The sequence below is a fragment of the Homo sapiens genome, chromosome 7 (assembly GCF_000001405.40).
Source record: "Homo sapiens chromosome 7, GRCh38.p14 Primary Assembly".
Taxonomy (NCBI): domain Eukaryota; kingdom Metazoa; phylum Chordata; class Mammalia; order Primates; family Hominidae; genus Homo; species Homo sapiens.
In genome coordinates, this window is record NC_000007.14 from 154,866,589 (window position 1) to 154,888,731 (window position 22,143).

Below are 22,143 nucleotides of genomic sequence, written 5' to 3' on the forward strand. Positions count from 1 at the left end.
CTGCTGGGACACGTGTCCTGCAAGGGACACGTTTCTCGCATGCTACGTGGTGTTCGGAACCTTTCCCAGTGGTGGTCTAACGTCAGATTTGTTAAAACTCTACCTGTTTGAAAACTAGTGTCACTATTTCTCCCCTTATTTTTTATCAAAGCTCAATATTCAAATGTGTCCAGCAACTTGCAAGTCATTTTCATTTTATGTACTCGTCACAAGCGCTGGGAGCTTCCATTTCCCCCTGTTCCTCTACAGAAGGTTGCCAGGCCTTCTGGGCAGAGTTCTTGAATAAAGCCACAGCCCCATGTTCTCCACACAAAGCCACACGTCCAGATTCTCCTAGTTATGGGCGGTCATTTGACCTCCAGCTGCCCCGGAGAAGCGCCCACCTGCAGAGCAGCTTTTTTTTTTTTTTTCAAGGGAGTTATATGGGAGGATGACTGGACATCCATTCTAGCATTGTTTGTGATCATTTGTTTACGCTTTAAACAAATGCACAAATTGCAGCTGCTTCCAAGTGATTTGACGAGCCAAAGGCAAAGTTCCTTGCAGAAAAATTCCCTTTCACAATGAACCACAAGTTATCCCCATGTGTAGGCTTAGTGTGAGAAGGGAGAAAGGAAGTTGGGTGGTTTTTATGACACGTCAGATGGTGAAATGAAACAGAATGGCCATTTCAGTACATGAACGGAGAGTTCCTCAGGGGACTTCTTTGCATCTGAAGAAATAGATAACGAGGACGTGTGTGTGCTGTCGCGGCAGAGGCACAAAGGTCCAGCGCATCCACACCACAGGGCAGAACTGACCTTGGTCTCTACCACGGAGGGAGGACAGCCAGTCCCACTGCAGTGTGAAGCAAGGCTCACACGACTCCACTGTCCACAAATACAGTCACCGAAGTTAAGGTCTCTCCAGAGACCAGCTTATCTTCTGTTTTGGGAGAGAGATCAGAATCCATTTTATTTCTGGGAACATTTAATAAAGATGATACCCTAGTTTCTACCCACCTTTCCTTTTCTGGTTATTATGGCCACAATTTTTGGAAAACCATTTGTCCTAACAGATGTGTAATGTAGGTTTTCTTAAAACCAGCAGTCATGGGAAGAATCATACCAAAACCTGTGCGTGTGACGCCACGGAGAACAAAAACCTCTGGTGGGGGAAGGAGAAAGCCTAAGACGGTGGGGAGAATCTTTAATCCACCCAAATTCCAGATTTGAGTCTAGGCTTTTGAGCGCATAACTTGAGCGTGTTTTTTAATGCCCAGTTTCTTTTTCTGTACACTAGAAATAATAATAATCACCTCTGAGGCTGATGAAAGCAGCAGTTACGCACATGAAAAGCCATGGCCCGCAGAGGTCCTCCATGAGTGACCACTGCATCTCAGTGTGTCCCTGTTTCCTCTCTTTCAGAAATGTTTGACCTAGAAACAAATGAACATGTCAAGAAGGCCATAAATGACCGACAGATGCCTAAAGTGGAATACAGGGACATTGAGATTGATGATTACAGTAAGTACTACGTTTTTCCCCTCTAAAAGAAAAAGAAAAAGAAAACGTGGGCTGTGACACAGTGCAGTCATCAGCAGCAGGTGCCCTGCAAGGAAGACTCCCCAAGCACGGGGGTGTATCTTTGCCCCTCAGCTCCTCTGGCATGGAGTGTCTTGTGTTCAGAACCAAGATGCTCACTCTGGTGACAAAACCAAAAAAAGCAGGGCACAGGATCTCTCTCCCTGAGAGGCTGACAGTTGCTTCAAAGCAAGACCACAGACTCCAACGCTCTCCTTCTTTGGTGACCGTGTCAAGACACCGTCCAGAAAAACCTCTTCCCTCTGGAAATTCCCTTTCTGTGCCATCTGAAGTCCTTCCTGCCTCATCAGCTGGTGGATTATGGGCTGATGAGGGGCGTCCTTGCAGCCAGGGTTTACGTGAGGAGGTTTGAGTGCTGTTACTCCCTAGGAAATGCTTCTCACTCTGCCTTTCTCTGCCTGTGCCCTTCTTTCCTTGAACTGTCCCTCCAGTCATTCGGTAAGTTCTCCTGGGCACTAACTCTGTGCTAGGCGTTGCTAAGCACTAAACACCCCAGAGCATTAGCTGGACCTGGACTCACAGCTCTAGGAGGGAGGCAGAGCCTCGGAGCCTCAACTCCCACCTCCGCACAGATGGCTCCCAAGTCACCCGGCTGGCCCCGTGTCCTCACTGCCCACCAGGTCGTTACTCTTGGAAACCCAAGTGTAAAATGCCCACAGCGGATTTCACTGTCTTCCCCCAGAACTCTGTCCCGCTCCAGACTTCCCCACCTCTATGCATAGCAGCCTTTTGGTGGTAAGTTGGTGTCGAATAACTGAGACTTCAAACCTTGAAGCTGTCTTTGAGTCATTCATGCAGACACCACTTACCCATCACCTCTGAGGCTGTAAACGGGTTTCCCTCCTGTGCAAACTCCGACTGACTGATAGTAACTGCAGGAGCTCTTTGTTGAAAGGGAAGGTTTCCAGAGCTCGGCGGAAAGCGTGTTGAGGCTGATAAGTAACACTGAGCTGAAAGGGCAGGGGGAGGAGCCACACACCTTGCGTTTGCCATCCCTAGACCGTCTCTGGAACCTCTTTGTCTGCCCTTCCCTGACACGAGACAGCAGCGTGTCGCCTGGAGCCTAGGGTATTCGCTGGCAGCCCCCTTGTGCTCAGCAGCTTAGAGGAGACACAATCACCTAACAGACTCAGCTCCCAAGAGCAGGTACCAAGGCTCACCCCACGAAACAAAAACAGGTCCCCCAAACAGTACGTGCTGCAAAGCTGCATTGCGTAGAGCAGAAAGTAAATAGCACGAGAATTCAGAGAAGAGCATGAGACTGGGCTGGGGACATGTGGGAATGCTCACGGAACGTGGGACTTGAACATGGTCCCTAGAGTCAGCATCAGGTGGGCTCACAAGAGGAGACCGTGCAATCCAGAGAAGAGGGCAACGTGAGGGGTCTTAGGCAAGGGCAAGTGCAGTGCAGTGTGGCTGGGTCTGGAGGCTGCCCTGGAGTCCCAGCCTGCAGGACAGCCCAGGTGTGGGCCCTGCACAGGGACCCTCACTCGCCTGTGCTCACCACGCCCTCCCTGCAGCCCACCACAGGTCCGGGCCAAAAACTTCTGGCCCCGCCATTTGGCCACAGGAAGCTATGCTCTATCACAACTTTTCTGGACATTGCATTCACCTCTGAAAGTCAGAACATTCTGGAATTTTGATGCACTTCAGATCCGCTCCCGCCCCCACCCCCACCCCCACCCCTGCCCCCAACACACTCACATGTCCAAAGGCTGTCTCTCTTAAAATACCCTGAAGGTGACCACGCCAGGGAAGGGGGCATGAACGAAATGAGTAGGGAATGGTCTAGGAGAAAAAGAATAATTTTGTGTGTGTCTGTGTGTGAGACAGAGTCTCACTCTGTCCCCCAGGCTAGAATGCAGTGGTACGATCTTGGGTTACTGCAGCCTTGACCTCCCGAGCTCAAGTGATCCTCCCACCTCAGCCTCCTGAGTAGCTGGGACCACAGGCAGGCCACATGCCCAACTAATTCTTTTTTTTTTTTTTTTTTCGTAGAGACAGGGTCTCACTATGTTGCCCAAACTGGTCTTGAACTACGGGGCTCAAGCAATCCTGCCTCAGTCCCCCAAAGTGCCAGGATTATAGGTGTCAGCCATCATGCCCAGCCTAGAGGAGGAAGAAGAGAAATTCAAGAAAACCATAAACAAGGGCTGGGCATGGTGGCTTATGCCTGGATTCCCATTACTTTGGGAAGCTGAGGAGGGCAGATCACTTGAGGTCAGGAGTTCAAGACAAGCCTGGCCAACATGGTAAAACCCCATCTCTACAAAAAAATACAAAAATTAGCCAGGCGTGATGGCATGTGCCTGTAGTCCCAGTTACTTGGGAGGCTGAGGCACGAGAATCACTTGAACCTAGAAGGCAGAGGTTGCAGTGAGCCAAGATCGCACCACTGCACTCCAGCCTTGGCAATAGAGTGAGACTTTGTCTCAAAAAACAAAAAACAAACAAACAAACAAAAAATGGAGGCTGTGACAAGCTGCTTTGGCCAAGAAATGTGTGTATTGGCCAGTCACGGTGGCTCACGCCTGTAATCCCAGCACTTTGGGAGGCCGAGGCATGCGGATCACTTGAGGTCAGGAGTTCAAGACCAGCCTGGCCAACATGGTGAAACTCTGTCTCTACTAAAAATACAAAAGTTAGCTGGGTGTGGTGGTGCACACTTGTAATCCCAGCTACTGGGGTGGCTGAGGCAGGAGAATCACTTGAACCCAGGAGGCGGAAGTTGCAGTGAGCTGAGATCGCACTACTGTACTCCAGCATGGGTGACAGAATGAGACTCCATCTCAAAAAAAAAAAAAAAAAAAAAAATGTGTGTGTTATCCCAGCCCAATGGAGAAACCATTGCCCCGGCATGTCTCTGAAGCTCCTCTGTTCTCAGCTCGAGGCTCCTCCGCAGCCTTGGCGGCCAGACTGTCACCCTGGCAAGATCCCTTTCTGAGCTCCTTAGGCCTGGCCTCCTCCTCCTCCAGCCCACTCTACCCACTGCTGTCCCAGTAACGCTTCCCAAGCCTGCAGCACTGGTGTGTGACTGTCATCCCTTCCTCTTAGGAAATGCAGAAAAGACCTTTCAAAGCACAAAGCCAGCTTTCCCACCCTTGCCACACACTCTGTCCAGCAGGGGGTTTCCTTAAAAGGTGGGTGGGTACAGATGCCAGGAGAGGATGTGGGGCACCTGTATGAGCCCAGCATCAGGAAGACCCCCTTAGGGATCGCAGGAAATCTGAAAGATGTCAGCCCTACCGACCTGACTTGGTTTTGTTTTTTTACTTTATGCTACCAGAGGCTAATGCTTTTCTTTATTTTATTTTATTTTGTATTTTTTAGAAAAGTAGGACATCTTCCAGAAGGGCTCCCCTGAAATGTTTTCAGCCAGTCAGAACATGGTTTCCAAGGTCTGCCCTTGGGCTTATCAGTGGCAGGGAGCAGCCCAGACCATGTTTTATGGAATTTAAATGATGAAGTCCAAGGCCTGCCTCTCCGCCAGTCCCTGGGCCATTGAGCTAATTTGCAAGCCATTAACATTCAGCCCGAATCAGTAATGAGACGCCAGGTCAGAGCTGGCTGCCCAGCCAGCCACCCAAGCCTGCAGTGTATCTGTGTAGTAATTGTATTGAAAAGCCGCTAATTCCAATTTAATTGCTGTGCCTTTGGTAATCTGGGTTGTAGTTAACATCAACAAATAAATTCAACTTGGATGGGAAGATTTGTTGGAAGGTAGGGGGCACAGAAGAAATTGGTGAGGCAGGTTTTTGAGGTTTGGTTCCTACCCACTCTCCCTCACCCACTGGATTTCATGCTGCTGAGGACCAGATCCAGTGACCTTGGTAGCCACGGGATCCAATGGGCTGTACCATCCTTCCCTGGCTTCCCCTAGCTGTGGCTGCAGCATAGCCATAGAGCCACCCAGCACAAACCTGCCAACAGCAAGACCCACAGATCCACCTGGCTCTGCACAGAGGCACTGCCATGGGCCGGCACCCTCTCCCCTCTAGGCGGCCCCCTGTCTCCCCTGACCCTCTATCTCTTCCTCTCCCTGCCTCCCTGCTCCCAAATATCCATCCCCAGCATCCCCGATCAGATGCTGAGAGATGCCTTTGTTGCCGCAGGCAGCCCTCCTGCTCTCAGGGCACCATATTTCCCTGCCTGAAATTCTGCTGCTAGCGAGTGCCCGGGCCATCGAGTCTTCCGTGCATTCAGTGCACTCCCATATGCAAGACTGAATGGAAGCTTCAGAGAAATGAAGCTTCACACAGGTCGGGTGACTTGCCCAAGGCCGCGCAGCAGGCCAGAGTCCTCAGGATGAAAACCCTGGGCCAGTCTCTGTCTGTGGGCTTCCCCTCAGGCCCCACCCAGAGCACCCTCACCCCCACGGTCACCCAAGGGCATGCCCGATACCCCGTGGCCAGCATTGCCCCCTAACCCGTGCTGTGCTCTGCTTCTCCCCAGACCTGCCCATGCAGATACTGAAGCCAGCAACCTTCACCGACACCACCCACTACCCTCTGCTCCTGGTGGTGTAAGTATCGTCACATCTGTCTTTCCCTGGTGCTCGTTCTGGGGCTCCGTGACACCCATGATAAAGGAATATTGAACTCTTAAGAAAAGATAAGCAGGAGAAATGACATTGTTGCAAACTGAAAACATAACATCGTTTAGCCCAATGTCAGGTTCTTTAGGAATCTTGGAGACACCCAGAGGTTAAAGGAAAGTGGGTGCTGTGTACCCACCGCCTCTCCCCAGGCTGCCTCAGGTTCTGTGACCATAAAGTGAGGCTGCTGGGATCATCGTAGTGGCATTTTGCATGACAGGCTCACCGGAGGCTGGCAGGGGACAGGTCCCAAGACACAGAGACACAAGATGGCTGGAGCCTGGGACCCGCACCCTGAGCCCGTGGGTCTCACTGGCTGGCATTTCTGGCCACTGCCGTGAATGCCCTTTTTTCACCAGCAAAGAATTTTTTCAGCTCTTTCTTATATTCATTAATAAAGCCTCCGGTTTGGGTTTTGAGAACAACTTTTTGTGCTCTGTAAATGCCTTGAAGGTGTTGGGTCTGATTAGGGAACTCAGTGCTAGGAGCCGGCCCAGTGCCCTGTGCATAGGTTCAAATGTTGCCTGACAGCCCTGAGTCTAGGTGATGTCCACGCGCTGACACCGCACGGGGAGGCAGTGCAGAGGGGGCCACCTGGACCGTTGAGCAAATGCCCCAATGCACCTCCTGGTCTGTACTTTCAAGACCACGGAGCAGGAGAAACTCCTGCACCCCTCGTAGCCTGGGAGAGCCGGCTGAAGCGAGGCCTATGCTGGGCTGTGTTAAGGATGCCAGTGCAACTACCCCCTGAGTAAACGCTGGCACCTGATGGAGCTCTGATTAACCCTGGTGTCTTGCCCTGCTCCCTTCCTGAGGGCTGAGTCCCTAAATAGCAAAAAGGTTCCATTATAGAAACGCCCCAGGGCACAGATTCCAATAGCTGATTCCGTTTTGCAATTAACCCACTTTCCTTAATATCTGGACTGCTTTCACACTTTCCCAGCAGCCATGCATGCACACTCACCCACATGCAGACACACGCACCCACACACAGGCACACGCACATGCACACACACCCACATGTGCACACATGCATCCACACACACACATGCACACACGCATACATAAACACACACATATGCATACCCACATGCACACACACCCACAGGCACACACATGCACACACACGCACCCACACACATAGGCACACACACATGCACACACCCACATGTGCACACATGCACACACACACGCACCTGCATACATAAGCACACACATGCATACCCACATGCACACATACACACACATGCACACACATACGTGTGCATACGCATCCACATGCAGCACATATGCACATGTATGTGTATATACACATGCACACATGCACACATCTATACACACCCACACCCACAGACCCACACACCCCACACATGTGCACACACACCACACACGTTTCCTGCCTCCTTTCTCTTACTAAACCAGATTTTCCCCACTTTCTCCAGGATGCTAACAACTTCCGAACCAGCTTTCTTCCCCTGCACACTGGTTTCTTCAGTGATCTTAAAGGAAATCCCCAAAAGCATTTCAGTTTACAAAACAATTCTCCTTCCCTTCAGAGGTAAAAGTGGTCGTGCCCGGTGGAGACAGCTGAGCTCTGCTGAGCTCGGACGGGACCGGCCAGGCAACCCCACCCCCTGGGTGCACACTCACTCTGGCCTTGCTAGCTTGCCTTGGAGGCTGTGTCTTTTTGTTTGTTTCTCACTGTGACATCAAATGTGATAGCAAGGAGATCTGGAGTCCCTGAGCCCCTGCTTCAGATTAAAAAAATCCAAAAGAAAACAAAGGCACACTCGACATAGAGCAGCACCATGACTCACCAGGACCCTAAGCATGCAGCACTCGAGCGCGCCGCTCCTGGCCCGCTCCTCCTGCCCCCACCCCACTCCTCAGCCCTTGGCAGACAGCTGGGAGAGTGCCCGTGGTCGAAGCAGTCACCTGGCTGGAGCCACTCTCAGTTGGGGCACTGCTCCCTGCTGTTCCAGGGAGGCAGGCTGGACCTGGGGCTGACTTTCTCTCCTGTCCATCTTTTTCCCGGCAAGAGGGAAAATCACTTAAAAACTTCCCCACACCCATAAGTATGCTGGTCAATGAGGAACAACCAGTCCTGCATAGAAAATGGCCCTGTTCCCAGCCTGGGCAACATAGCAAGACCCCATCTCTACAGATTAACAGATTTTTCTTTTAATTAGCCAGGCATGGTGGCACATGCCTGTGGTCTCAGCTATTTGGAAGGCAAAAGTGGGAGGATTGCTTGAGCCCCAGAGGTCAAGCCTGCAGTGAACCAAGATTGTGCCACTGCACTCCAGCCTGGCCGACAGAGTGAGACCCTGTCTCAAACAAAAGAAAAAAAAAGAAGAAAAGAAAAGAAAGAGAGAGAGAGAAGGAAAGAAGGAGGGGAGGGAGGGAGGAAGGGAGGGAACAGCCCTGTTTGAGGAAAAAGAAAACAGCCCTGTTTGTGGCACTGGTCGAATCCCATGGTCCAAATGCCCCACCATGGATGCCTTTCAGCCAGCAGTGCTGGGCTCGCAAATGAAGAGCTGGGAGGAGAGCACAGTGGGAGCCGCCAGCCCAGGTCGGAGGCCACACTGCCCAGAGCCAATGGCTCCTTGACTCCCGAGCAGAGGGAGGGAGAAAGGCCACCCATATGGCGGGTTTGCTGTTACTTCCGACTTAACAAGAGACAGACCACGTCTTCAAGCCAGGGATGTGGCTAGAGTCAGCGCGGCCTTGTCACTTGTGATGGGTACTGAGAGGTACAGCCTGGGACATCTAGAACCCAGGAAAGAGAAACCTTCTTGCCGTGTAGGGAAGGTCCCCGCAGGGAGAAGGTGGGAGGATTTGTATTGTTTCCCTCACCAAATAGATGCTTTTTGGTGGCCGTCCCAGACAGCGCCGGTGTGTGTAGGGATGGCCCTGGGTGTCCTAGGCTCTTGGAGGTCTCCTCTTCCTCCTCACTTTATGGGGTGTGGATAACACCTGGCTCACCTGCCCGGGGCAACAGAATCTGGGGTATGGAGTTGAGCGTGTGGCAGCCGGGTCACGGGTAAAATCCCTTACGGGGGTCATCTGACGTGGCAGCTGCTAGACCAGCCGCCACCCACCACGCAGCAGGCCTGCTGAGCCCGGGATTCTCTTTCCAGGGATGGCACCCCAGGCAGCCAGAGTGTGGCTGAGAAGTTCGAGGTGAGCTGGGAGACGGTGATGGTGAGCAGCCACGGCGCGGTGGTGGTAAAGTGTGACGGCCGTGGCAGCGGCTTCCAAGGGACCAAGCTCCTGCACGAAGTGAGGCGGCGGCTGGGCTTGCTGGAGGAGAAGGACCAGATGGAGGCCGTGCGGTGAGCACCCGCCCAGGAAGCAGGAGAGGCCGGGAGGGGACGGGGCTCCTCATGGGGGCAGCACCGCAGTCACAGTGCGGGAATGCTTTTTCTCCACGCACACATTTTTCATGCAATTTGCTCTTACCTAAAATCTCTTGGCCATTCCAAAGAAGTTTCAAAGGAAACTTAGGAATCTTCTCCTAGGGACATTTATAACTAGTTTTCCCACTGCAGGGTAGATTGTTGAGTTGACTAAAACAAGGGGATAGAAATTGCCGGTTGGGTTGGCTTGGCTTTTCTGCGCTGTGGTCACTGACCCGGGCCAGTGTCCACGCATGTCTTTGCCATTTATCCCAAGGGGAGGAGAGAAGAGATCAGGAAGGAAGGACAGAAAAAGGGAAGGAATATGAATGGGGCTGGATCCGTGGAAATGGGTCACCCTCGTTACTGAGAGCAGGACCTCCATGCACATCCAGGTGGGGCCAGAATGCCCTTCCCGGCTCTGAGGAAGGGCAGGCTTTTGTTCTGTCATTCCTGTGCATCCCTATCACTGACTCAGCAAGAGCAACCGACATCACAGAAACAAAAGGAGGCTTAGCACCAAGGGGCAGATGCTCCAAATGACTTATTGAATCTTATTGTTGCACTGGAAATAAAAAGACATCAAGACACTGCGCCAGGCTGCAGCTGGCCTTCAGGCTCATTTTGTAGAAGCAGTTTTCACAGTCTGATGGCACAGAGGACTGCAGCACTTACTCTAACTTCACCCCTTAGAGATGCTGCAGGAACAGCTCAACGGACTGTGGACTTGGGTTCTGAGAATGACAAGAAGGCAGGGAGAAGCGCATCTACCAGGGACCCCCGCCGCGACCATGATCATCACCGTTATGGGCAGGGGAGCGTGAGGCTGGGCCCGGGCACACAAGGAGGGTGGAGCACAGAGCCCAGCTCAGTACATGTTTATTGACTGGACCTGGCATCTCTGTACCTATTATACCAGGGTGCTTTGTGCGTTTGGAAATTTTTACTCAACTGACTTTGAAAACATTTCTCCTCATTTTGAAAAAGATTGACGGCCCTGGTATGTACTCAGCGAATGGTCTTTCAATGGAAAACAATGAGCGTGTGAATGAATGGTTCCGGTCCTCCTCCAGGGAGCTATGAGCTGGGTGATGGCAGACAAAGCAATTGCTTCAGAAACCCGTGTTGCAGCTGGGAAATACGGAGCGGGAGAGCTCTCAGGACTCAGATACTCAGGGAAGGAGTGTCTGCCAGGATGCCTTTGCCTGGAAGTCAATGACTACAACAACACATGTGTGCGTGCACACACACACACACACACACACACACCTCTCAAATAAGGAACTATATTGGCTACAAAAGACACAGGGATGTCAGGTCTCAAGGTTGATGAATCCAGACACCAACAATGTCACCAACGACCCAGGCTCTCTCCGTCTCTCCGCCCAGCCAGCCATGATGGTCTCATCCTAAGCCGAGCCCTCAGTCACGGGGTGGCCCTCAGTAGCACCTGGCTCCATGCTTCGTCATCTACCTCCAGCAGGTTGGGGAGGAAACCACTTTTAGAAACTTCCAGAAAGGAAAGGAAAGTCTCCCCACAAGCAGACAGCAAACCTCTCCTTCCATCTCCCTGGCCCTCCCCTGCCCATTCCAGAACCTGCCACCAGTGAGACAGGTGCAGGCAGCCCCCCCAGAGACCAAGTGGGTCCGTCTGACACCAGTGTGGGGCCAGCCCCTGAGCAGAGGATGTGGGGTGACAAGGGAATGCTGGGGTTCAGTGTGGAAGGAGGATGGGTGGGTGGCTGCTGGGTCAGCAGCGGGCAGTGCCAGCCACAGAGGACTCCCAGGACACGGAAGCCGGCCCAGGCTGCGCTCTGGAGTGGAGTGGGCCTGGCTTCCTGGGTGGGGGCACGAGTGCTCTCCTGGCTTCCCAGACCTCCTCCTTTGGGTCTTTTTCATTTGTGTGTGGCTTCCCCTGCCATCTCCTGCTCTTTCCTCACCCCACCTGCTCTATCTCCTCCCAGGGAGATTTGGAAGCCCGGGGCCTCCCCGCCATCAAGGGCAGGCCCAGGGGAAAGTCGCAGCACCCTCAGGCTCCCCTTCGACACTTGGCTCTGCCTGGCATCTTCCCCAAAGAGCACAGGAATTAGAGGGCAAAGGTGTTTCACACACACACACGTCGTGCCCTAAAAAGAAGGAATGGGCCCAACCATCTGTTCCAAAACAAGGCAGAACCTGTTCTGGAAAAAGTCAATAATGCCAACTCCTAAACCACCGAAGCTCAAAGAATGGGAGCGTGTGGACAACGGCAAAGCTTAGAGCCGTTGCCAAAGCACAGACTTTCTTAGGAAGCTGATGCCCAATGGCGCCAAGCCATAGAAAGCCTCCCTCAGCTCTCCCTAGGAACGAGGTCTGCATTTTCATTCATCAGAAAGAAATAGCCCAATTTGATCGGAAACCTAAAATCAGGAGGCTGACACATTAGCCTGACTCCTCCCACTCCCACAGTTCCCCCGTCCACCACCACCATATCCTCACCGAGGAGCCCACAGGCCAGCCTCCCACGAGCAGCTGAGATGAGCTGTGGAAGGGAGCTCGTCCCACCCCTGTGGAAGGCAGCGGGCAGCTGTGTAAACCCGACTAGGGCCGGTGGGCTCCTGTCTCCTAGAGACAGGTTGTCTCTGGGCTCAACTTGGGATTTTCTTCACGATTGTTTCTTTTGGGTCCTACGTGCTCATGTGTACACACACAGACACCCTGGGTCATGTGCTAAGGAGCAGCAGAAATGCCTCATTTTTATTTACTCATTTGTTCACGTAGCTAGTGGAGGAAGCCAAAATAGTTATCCCCAAAATATTGAGACCTGCTAAGTGAAAGATACTGAAAACACAGGGACTCTCTGCCTCTGCCCCTGTTTGCCAGACGCCAGGACATCCATCCTTCCTTCCTGGGGACAGCACCTGCTCATCAGCCCAGAGAGGGTCCCAGCCGTTGCCAGGGTCTCTGGGGGCAGATTGCATTGCCTTCTCACAGGTTCCCTCCTTTTAAAAGACTGGGGGCTGGGCATGGTGGCTCACGCCTGTAATCCCAGCACTTTGGGAGGCCCAGGTGGGCGGATCACCGGAGTCCAGGAGTTCAATCAAGACCAGCTGGCCAACATGGTGAAACCCCGTCTCTATTAAAAACACAAAAATCGGCCGGGCGCGGTGGCTCACGCCTGTAATCCCAGCACTTTGGGAGGCCGAGGCGGGCGGATCACGAGGTCAGGAGATCGAGACCATCCTGGCTAACACGGTGAAACCCCGTCTCTACTAAAAAAAAAAAAAAATACAAAAAATTAGCCGGGCGAGGTGGCGGGCACCTGTAGTCCCAGCTACTCGGGAGGCTGAGGCAGGAGAATGGCGTGAACCCCAGGGGGCGGAGCCTGCAGTGAGCCGAGATTGTGCCACTGCACTCCAGCCTGGGCGACAGCGAGACTCCGTCTCAAAAAAAAAAAAAAAAAAAAAACACAAAAATCAGCCAGGTGTAATCCCAGCTACTCAGGAGGTTGAGGCAGGAGGATCGCTTGAACCTGGGAGGCAGAGGTTGCGGTGAGCCACGATCACGCCACTGCACTCCAGCCTGGGCAATGAGCCAAACTCCATCTCAAAAAGAAAACCGTAAATAAATAAAAGACTGGAGCTGCTCTCTCCTTTGCCTGGTCACTATGCTGAGAGTTATGGCTCTTTGTTAAAATACTGTGTAAACAGGGCCCCTACACCACTGCCTTAAGAGGCACTGGAACTGAGGCCTCCGCCACGTGGAGGGCACAGCGCACGCCAGGAAATCTCTTCCGGTTTTCCTCTTGTTCATCTGACTTTCATTTTCAGGACAGTGACAGTGTCTCGACCAGGAACTCATAAGGGTTGAGAAAAGAAATTATATTTTCTCCTCTTTACTAGAAAATGTCTAAAAATATCTCTAACTCCACACTTGACATTATGGCTTGGCTTGAGGTAAAATCCAGACAGACAATAATTTCCATCTAACAAGCAACAAGCCCACAGCCTGCAGGCGTCCTGCTGCTGGTTGAGGTCCAGAAACCGGAAGGACCCCAGCCACTTCGTGGGGGAAGCAGAAGACCACAATGCGGGGCAAGGTCCCAGCAAGGGTGAGGCAGGGACCCAGGCAGCACTGGCCCAGAGCACTGAGGCCCAGAGCACCAAGCGGCTGCTGCCAAGGCTGGGCCGTAGCAGGAAGCTCATGGGAAGAATCCCTCTGTGGCCAAACAGGTACAAGACAGGGGCCTCCTCCCAGGAATTGGGAACAGAAGGCTGTGCAGGTGGGATGGGGTCTCACTGGCTTGACTCTGAGCCCAGAAGCATAGAACCAGAGCTCCACAGATTCCTGCCGACCCCTAAGGCTCATCCCAGAGCCCGCGTGCTTGGAGTCACAGGCTCTGGGTGGGGGCCCAATAGCAGCAGATGGACCCCATGCAACAGGGGCTGCGTCTCCCAGAAGGGGCTCTGCGGCTGTGGATTAATGGCTCGCAGTCGAGAAGCTTCTATACCTGGAAGTGCTACAGAGTTATTGCAAGGGTGCTTTGAGGTTTTAACGTGAACATGCTGACTTGGCACTAAATAAATAAAAGCAATAAATAATTATATTGGAATGCTAAGGTTGCTTTTTATTTGAAGAGGGGTTTTCATCCTTGAAATGGATGGAAAACATGGCTCTGGGCTACAGGAAGACAAAGTGGCAGCAGGATGTGCACTGAACCCTCTTTCCCCTCCTCGACCTCACAGGACGATGCTGAAGGAGCAGTACATTGACAGGACGCGCGTGGCCGTGTTTGGGAAGGTGAGTCTGCGCCACCCTGGTCTGAAAACCCCTCAGTTCCAGTGTGGCCTGCACCATTACCCACGTCTAATCCTGATTTATTGAGAACGTCTGTGGTCTGCTGGTGAGCAAGTAATTTTTTAAAATCAAGAGCCTGGGTGCTTAGTGATTCCAGCCGTGGGAGGTTTCATTTGATCAGCTCATTTTCCTAAGTTTCTTTTTACATTATCTGGAAGGAAAGAGAAGGGAAGCCAAGTCCCCGCAGGAGAGCTCTAATACATTCCTAATGACTTTTCTCCCATCCATCTGCTGTAGCTCTTGGCATGGTAGCCAGGAAAGAAGCAAAGCAGGAATCTATTTCTGGATAACTCGATGTGGAGTAACAACGTTAATTACCATGTCTACTTAGACGGAAGCACAGGTGTGGGGAGGGTCGCGCAGTGAACTCTCAAACCAGAGCCGCTCCCATCTGGTGGCCCTTGTCAGAAGGCTGTAGCCTGGGACAGCTCAGCTGTAGCTGAGGCCCACGGTTTGGAGTTAGGTCTCTGCACCGCCACCTACTATGGCCCTGGTACATGGCCCCTCATTCTCCTTAGCCTAGACCTGGGGCCTCTTGATCTCAAGAAGGCCAGCACACAGATGGGTCGGTATAGACCCATCTTCCCTCTGGGAGTGACCCTCAGCACAGGCCCTGCAGAGGAGGCCTTGCTGTGACACCCCCGCAGGTGAAGGCTTGGACAAGTAATCAGCACAGTGCCTCTTACGTCATCGCCTCCAAAACCTCAGAGCCCAGCATGCACTGGAGACCCGGCCCTGCCCTGTGGGCTGCTCCCGGAAGCAGGGGATGCAGGAGCCCTCCCACACCTCCTCCTTACCTGCCGGAGGTGAAGTGGTCAGGAGGAGGGCCGGCGGCTTCTCTCCTTGTTCAGAGCCCGGGCACAGAGCCCTAGAGGTGCATTCCAGGTGCCTAGATGTCCACTCACTGCCTGTGAGGCCCGAAGCCACTGGGTCATTGGTAGGTGTAACTTGGGTGTCAATAGCCATCACCTCTCCCCACCCTCATGGAAGTGACTTCCCAGCAGACTGGCAGCTGAAAGGCAGGGAGCCTGGGCCGTGGTCAGTCTTTTCCAGTCGTCACTCTGCCCCAAATGCACATGGATGCCACTCCTGAGGGCTTGGCCTCCTTCCTGTGCCTTGCATATAGTCCATCCACTCAGGGCCTTTCATAGTTCACTTCTGGACACAGAGAGGCTTTCTCAACAGGCAGTTGGTCCAGAAGCACAGGCAGCCGAGGTGCCAAAGGGAAAGGGGACCCTGTGCACCTGTCAGAGCACAACTGATGCACCCCCACACCCTGTACCCCCGCACTCAGCTCCGCCGAGGACATCTGTCTGAGCTCCGTGCTGGGGATCTTTCCTTTGCCATTCTGCCCAGTGGATCCCGGGCGTCTTTCCAGAGCATAAGCATCTCTGTTTTGTTTTAACAAGCCTTAGATAGAGGTCCGTAGACCCCACAATGGTATTTCTCCTCTGAAGAATAAAGCGTCAATCCTTTTAGTGGCTTGGCATGTTGCGGCCTGTCCATTCTGTTTCCTCCTCGCATGTGCCCCAGTGATCTGGCTGCAGCCTTTGTCAGGCATCGCAGGACCTGGGACACAGAGCCCAGGGGAGCAGCAGCCACCCTGCACCCAGAGGTGACCTGGAGAGCAAGGGGGCACCTGTGCGTTATGTTCTGCAGTTTCCCCCCCGACACCGAAAATCCCCCCTGCAGAAGATTGCCTGTCTCTCATTTAAACCAGAGCAGGCCGCGTGGCCCTGCAGGAAAATGAGATTTAAAGAAAACGAAGAATGACAAGTAAGGACGTGTGGAGTTCACTGACAATAAATATTATTTGTCAGAAAATGAAAATCTTCTTTCATTGTCATTAGACAAGGTGCCCCTGCCCTATTAAAGGAACACACCGGAACGATCGTGCAGGTCATAAATGGTTGATCTTGGAGTTTGGCATGACCTGCGCTTCACGGTCTCAGTCAGGTACCTGGGTTCTCTACACTCCATGCTCCCAACACGCATGCTCACAGACTCACATACACATGGATGCTCACCCATACACATGCTCACACACACATGCTCACACATTCACACACATGCTCACCCATACACCTGCTCACCCATACACATGCTCTCACATACATGTGCTCACACATACACACACATGCTCACCCATACACATGCTCACACATTCACACACATACACAAATGCTCACATACACGCTCACACATACACACACATGCTCACCCACACAATGCTCACACATTCACACACGCTCACCCATACACCTGCTCTCACACACATGCTCACACATACACACACATGCTCACCCATACACCTGCTCACACATACACATGGTGTCACACACACGCTCATACACACACATGCTCACACACACGATTACATACACCTGCTCACACACACACACATGCTCACCCATACACATGCTCACACACACGCTCACATTCACACACATGCTCACCCATACACTTGTTCACACATACACATGCTCTCACACATGCTCAGACACATGCTCACCCATACACATGCTCACACACGCTCACACATTCACACACACCTGCTCACACATACACATACATGCTCACCCATACACCTGCTCACACACACATGCTCACCCATAAACATGCTCACACACACACATGCTCATACACGTTTACCCATACACATGCTCACACGATTACATACACCTGCTCACACACACACGTGCTCACAAATTACATACACATGCTCACACATACATGCTCACAAACACGACTACATACACCTACTCACACACACATGCTCACACAATTACATACACCGACTCACGCACACATGCTCACACAATTACATACACCTGCTCACCCATACACACATGCTCACATGATTACACATGCTCCCACATACATACATGCTCACACACATTACATACACATGCTCACACACGCTCACACATACACACGAGTACATACACGCTGACACATGCTCACACACACGATTACATACACATGCTCACACATACACATGCTCACCCACACACACGCTCACACATACACTCACACACACCTGCTCACACATACCCATACATGCTCACCCATACACATGCTCACACACACATGCTCACCCATACACATGCTCACACACATGCTCACCCATACACATGCTCACACACACATGCTCATACACGTTTACCCATACACATGCTCACACACGATTACATACACCTCCCACATACACGATTACATGCACCTGCTCACACACACACATGCTCACAAATTACATACACATGCTCACACATACACATACATGCTCACAAACATGATTACATACACCTACTCACACACACATGCTCACACAATTACATACGCCTACTCACACACACATGCTCACACAAATTACATACACCTGCTCATACACACACACATGCTCACACGATTACATACACATGCTCCCACATGCTCACCTATACACATGCTCACATACACACGAGTACATACACATGCTGACACATGCTCACACACACGATTACATACACATGCTCACACACATTCACATTCACATGTTCACGCACACATGCTCACATGCTCACCCATACATACACACGATTACATACACATGCTCATACATACACGATTACATACACATGCTCACACAGGCTCATACACATGCTCTTACCCATACATGCTCACACACACACATGCTCACACACAAGCACACATGATCACACAGGCACACATGATCACACATACACAGGCTTGCACAAGTTTACACACATACTCATACATGCTCACACAGGCATACACACATGCTCACATATGCACACACTCTCACATGTATAGGCACACACAGGATTACACATGCTCACACATGTGCTTATACACATACACCCATGCACATGTTCACACGTTTATACACACATATCACACACACACACCCCCATATACTCACACACACGCTGCCACATGCTCTGTCTCTCACACATACCTGACAGTTCCGTGCTGTCCCGTTTCCCTCGGGGTCTTCCCTTCGGAGGCTGCAGCTCGTCTGAGCATCCAGCCTTGAAGGCACTGAGCAGGCAAGGAGGTAGGGCTTTTCTCTGGGGAGGCCTGCGTTGCAGTACGGCTTCCTCATCCCCACCAAGGGCAGGGAAGGGCAGGAGTCTAGGACTTACCTGAATACAGAACACCTGGGAGCGTCTGTCTCGTGTCGGCCTTGTGCTGAGCATGTGCAGACCAGGACTTGCGCCCTAAGCCACTTGTTGGCCCCTCCCTCAGAATCATGTGCAGTGGCTTGGCCTCACCCACAGACAAGGGAGGCGGTAAGAAATGCCATAAAGAGACGCTGAGCCTGAAGGACAGCACCTTACACCTGTGCAGTCCACACTTGCCTTTCCAATTCGCCGTTGCATTTCATCCTCACGTCCCTTGACACCAAGGCCCAGAAGCGGAGAAGGCGCACGTCGCATAATGCTGAGTTGGAAGGGAGTTTGCTTTTCATCTCTTGTTACTGCCCCGTGAACAACTTTCCAAGTGACACATTTTGTAAAAGGAGAGAACCTGCATGGAACTGGCTGCTCTGGGGCTGTCTCCCTGCCCGAGGCTGCTTCATGCTGAGTTACTGCCAGGACTCCTAACTGTCTTCTCTCTGCGCTTTCTCCAGGATTACGGTGGCTACCTGAGCACCTACATCCTCCCAGCAAAGGGAGAAAATCAAGGCCAGACATTCACCTGCGGCTCTGCTCTCTCTCCAATAACAGACTTCAAACTCTATGGTAAATAGCCCTGCAGGACCAAGCGACGGGCTCTGCTCCCGCCCCGCCCCGCCCCCTGCCTGCGTGGCCCCACAGCCCTCCCTTCAGCACCACCGTCCCGCTAACCACAGGTGCCTCCAGGCCACAGTCACCACCTTGGGCTGATGGAAGAACCCGGGGAAGGAGAGGGAAGGGTCTCAGGTAATATGTTTTGAATGAAAGTGGTCAATCCCCAGATGCCTACAAATCACATCCCAATGAAGACCACGAGTTGGAAACAGCTAGTACTCCGCTGGCAGCAGTGGGGGCGAGGAAGCCAGGGTGCGCAGGAGGGGAGCAGGTGCCACAGGCCCTGCCGGGCCGCCCTCCTTCTCTGCTCCCAGAAGAATCCGAGCAGGGCCCTGCCCTGAGTTCTATGCCTGGGCATGGGTATTTGGTGCACAGGTGTTACCAGATAAGGAAGGGATGGTTGGGAGGGAATTGCTACCATAGAGCAATTCAACGAGGTCCACGTGGCTCAGCTCTGCCTTCCCATCTCCCTGGCCATGCAAATGGCACCTGGTCAGCACCTGTCCTCAGAGAGTATGGCTCTCCATGAGCACAAGGCAGAGATGGGGTCAGGCTGTCAGGGTGACCTGCTGTGGGGATCAGATGGAGATGAGCCCACCCAGGTGTGGGAACCAGACCTCTGTCCAGGCACAGAAGGGCTTTGCTGTGTTTGGGGGTTCCAGGCTCCTGCATTCTCCTCCTTATGGTCACCCAACCCTTTTTCTCTGAACCTGAGCTCTGTGACCTGAACCCATTTCTTAGAATATACAGAGAGGTCTTTTCTGTGGCTCCGAGAACTTGAATTCAGGTCAGGGCTCCGTGGCAGCCAGGCTGTTCCCTCCAGCTGTCCCCACCCTAAGCAGCGCTGGCAAGTGAGGTGGAAATGGAGGGGGCTTCCTGCTGCTGGTCCACCGCAGTCCTGCCAGAGCCTGACATTCCCTGCAGGTTGGAGGAACGAGTCCAGCCCCCATTGCCACACCTAGCCCTAGCCCTGCTGTGCTGGCCGAGCCCTGTAGACACCGCCCAGCAAGGCAGGGACCACGGTGGGCCCAGCAGCCTCCTGGCTGGTGCAGCCAAGTCTCCCAACACCTTCACAGCGGGCTCACTCCAGTGCAAATTTTAACTCGTACAGGAACTCTCCTGGTCCAAAATGTGAATCATGTAAGAGGAATCTTCCCTCAGGAATGCGGGTGCCACCTTCAAATTGAGTGAGACTTTCTTAATTCTTTCATCATGCTGTTTCAGATTTGTCTGATTCAAATGCACATAAATCTGAATCAGATTGTCTGATTCAAATGCACACAAAAGCTGCCATCATGTCTTGATGGGTCACTGTGCCCAAAACCAGCCAGTCCTCTTCATTGTCTCCTGGGCGCCCTCAGGCTTACCCTGCAGGCCAGGGGCACTGTGCAGAGCCCTTTCGGCCCTCAGCCCTGGGAGAAGCCCCTGACACTCTTCTGTCACCCAGCTGACCGCAGGGCCTCAGGCAGAACCAAGAGCAGGGATGTGCCTGGACTTTTTAAAAAATAAGTAAATCTTGATGGAAATGTGCTCTCTTACCACCCATGCCCTTCCTAAGTGTTGAAGGAGGAGGTTATCCTACTTATTTAGGAATCAGATTAACTGGGTTTTGCTTAATTAAGGTTCTGCGATGCTGATGAAAATTGCAACACCGGCACTCACACACATTAAGGTTCCCGTTGTACCGCCTGATGCCCCTTGTAAAGACCCAAATGATTTAGGTGGTGTTTTTAAAAAACCAACAATCTGCCACACAAGTGGCAAGTGGGAATGAGCCTGAGTCCTCACCCCGCACCCGGTCCAGGGCCCTCCCTAGAGTTTGGGGGCTGCGCTCACAGGGCCTCGAAGCCAGAGGTAACCTCCCTCCCTTTGCTTCCGTGCAGCCTCTGCGTTTTCCGAGAGGTACTTGGGCCTCCATGGACTTGACAACAGAGCATACGAGGTGTGTATGGGCACAACTAGAGAATGTGATGAGACCAGTCAGCCTCTGCCACAGTCTCCCAGCCTGCCCTGGCTGTATGGCCCACTCTGCCTTCCCCAGCCCCATGCTTCTCCCTCACCAGCACCAAAGCCCACTCAGAAACCTCCGAAGGATCATTCCACCAGAGAGTGGATTGAGGTTAACATGGCCTCTCTGGGTTCCGCCTGATTTCCCATTATAGGACTTGAGGGATGAGGAAGAAAGTAAGAGGATATTTGATGGCGGAGTCAGTCCCAGCGTCCATGGATACCTGATGTGCACAGGACTCCTGGCTCTCCCTACAGCCAGAGCTGTGCTGCTGGGGGAGAGTGAGCTTTTTTTTTTTTTTTTTTTGAGATGGAGTCTTGCTCCATTGCCCAGTCTAGAGTGTAGCAGCATGATCTCGGCTCACTGCAACCTCTGCCTCCCAGGTTCAAGCAATTCTCCTGTCTCAGCCTCCCAAGTAGCTTGGATTACAGGCACACGCTGCCACGCCCAGCTAATTTTTGTATTTTCAGTAGAGACGGGGTTTCACCGTGTTGGTCAGGCTGGTCTCCAACCCCTGACCTCAGGTGATCCACCTGCCTCAGCCTCCCAAAGTGCTGGGATTACAGGTATGAGCCACCACCCCTGGTCCGAGAGTGAGCTCTTGACTGAGGAGCAGAAGGCCTCTCTGATGCGACCTCCTGAGTCAGACCTGTTGATTTGGTGCAGCTGTCAGACACGGCATTTCTCCAGCTGTGCGCAGGGAGGGAGGCCAGAGCTCCTGGCCGAGGCAGCACTGCATTTTCAGAGTGGAAACTTGGACAAAGGAACTGAGTCCAACCAGGGAGTCAGCTCCCTGAGGCTCCAGGTGAAATGATGGCCCTCTAAGGCTACCTGGAGTTGGAGGAAACTCTTCCTTTTTCCCTTCTTCTCTTCCACCCCCTCCTCTTCCAAAAAGGGAGTTAATGTGGGGGAAAGCTGGGTGTGGTATATT

The 22,143-nt window shown here is 52.5% G+C and overlaps 1 protein-coding gene and 1 long non-coding RNA gene across 13 annotated transcripts in view, besides 1 other annotated feature; one reads left to right on the forward strand and one right to left on the reverse strand.

The window, feature by feature from the left end:
- LOC105375580 (uncharacterized) overlaps positions 1 to 995 on the reverse strand; it is a 41,837-nt gene extending 40,842 nt beyond the window's left edge. Inside the window, exon 1 of the long non-coding RNA XR_928190.3 lies at positions 801 to 995. This is a non-coding gene — a long non-coding RNA (uncharacterized LOC105375580). The remainder of the gene's footprint in view (positions 1 to 800) is intronic.
- DPP6 (dipeptidyl peptidase like 6) overlaps positions 1 to 22,143 on the forward strand; it is a 1,146,153-nt gene that overhangs the window by 1,118,456 nt on the left and 5,554 nt on the right. For 11 of the 12 annotated variants that reach the window (NR_157196.2, XM_047419951.1, NM_001364500.2 and 8 more), the window contains 6 exons: positions 1,407 to 1,505; positions 6,036 to 6,105; positions 9,318 to 9,512; positions 14,300 to 14,354; positions 19,045 to 19,156; positions 21,088 to 21,146. Coding sequence is in view for 10 of the 12 variants with exons in the window: in XM_047419951.1 (XP_047275907.1) it covers positions 1,407 to 1,505; positions 6,036 to 6,105; positions 9,318 to 9,512; positions 14,300 to 14,354; positions 19,045 to 19,156; positions 21,088 to 21,146 (590 nt within the window). In the remaining 2 variants the exon portion in view is untranslated. The remainder of the gene's footprint in view (positions 1 to 1,406; positions 1,506 to 6,035; positions 6,106 to 9,317; positions 9,513 to 14,299; positions 14,355 to 19,044; positions 19,157 to 21,087; positions 21,147 to 22,143) is intronic. The other variant, NR_157195.2, reaches the window with a different exon arrangement.
- Positions 1,990 to 2,748: an enhancer, noted in NCBI's record as "H3K27ac-H3K4me1 hESC enhancer chr7:154660288-154661046 (GRCh37/hg19 assembly coordinates)". NCBI's record gives its function as "activates a minimal SCP1, AML or CMV promoter by ChIP-STARR-seq in naive H9 embryonic stem cells {active_cell/tissue: H9 hESC(naive)}" and the evidence as "EXISTENCE:reporter gene assay evidence [ECO:0000049][PMID:30033119]".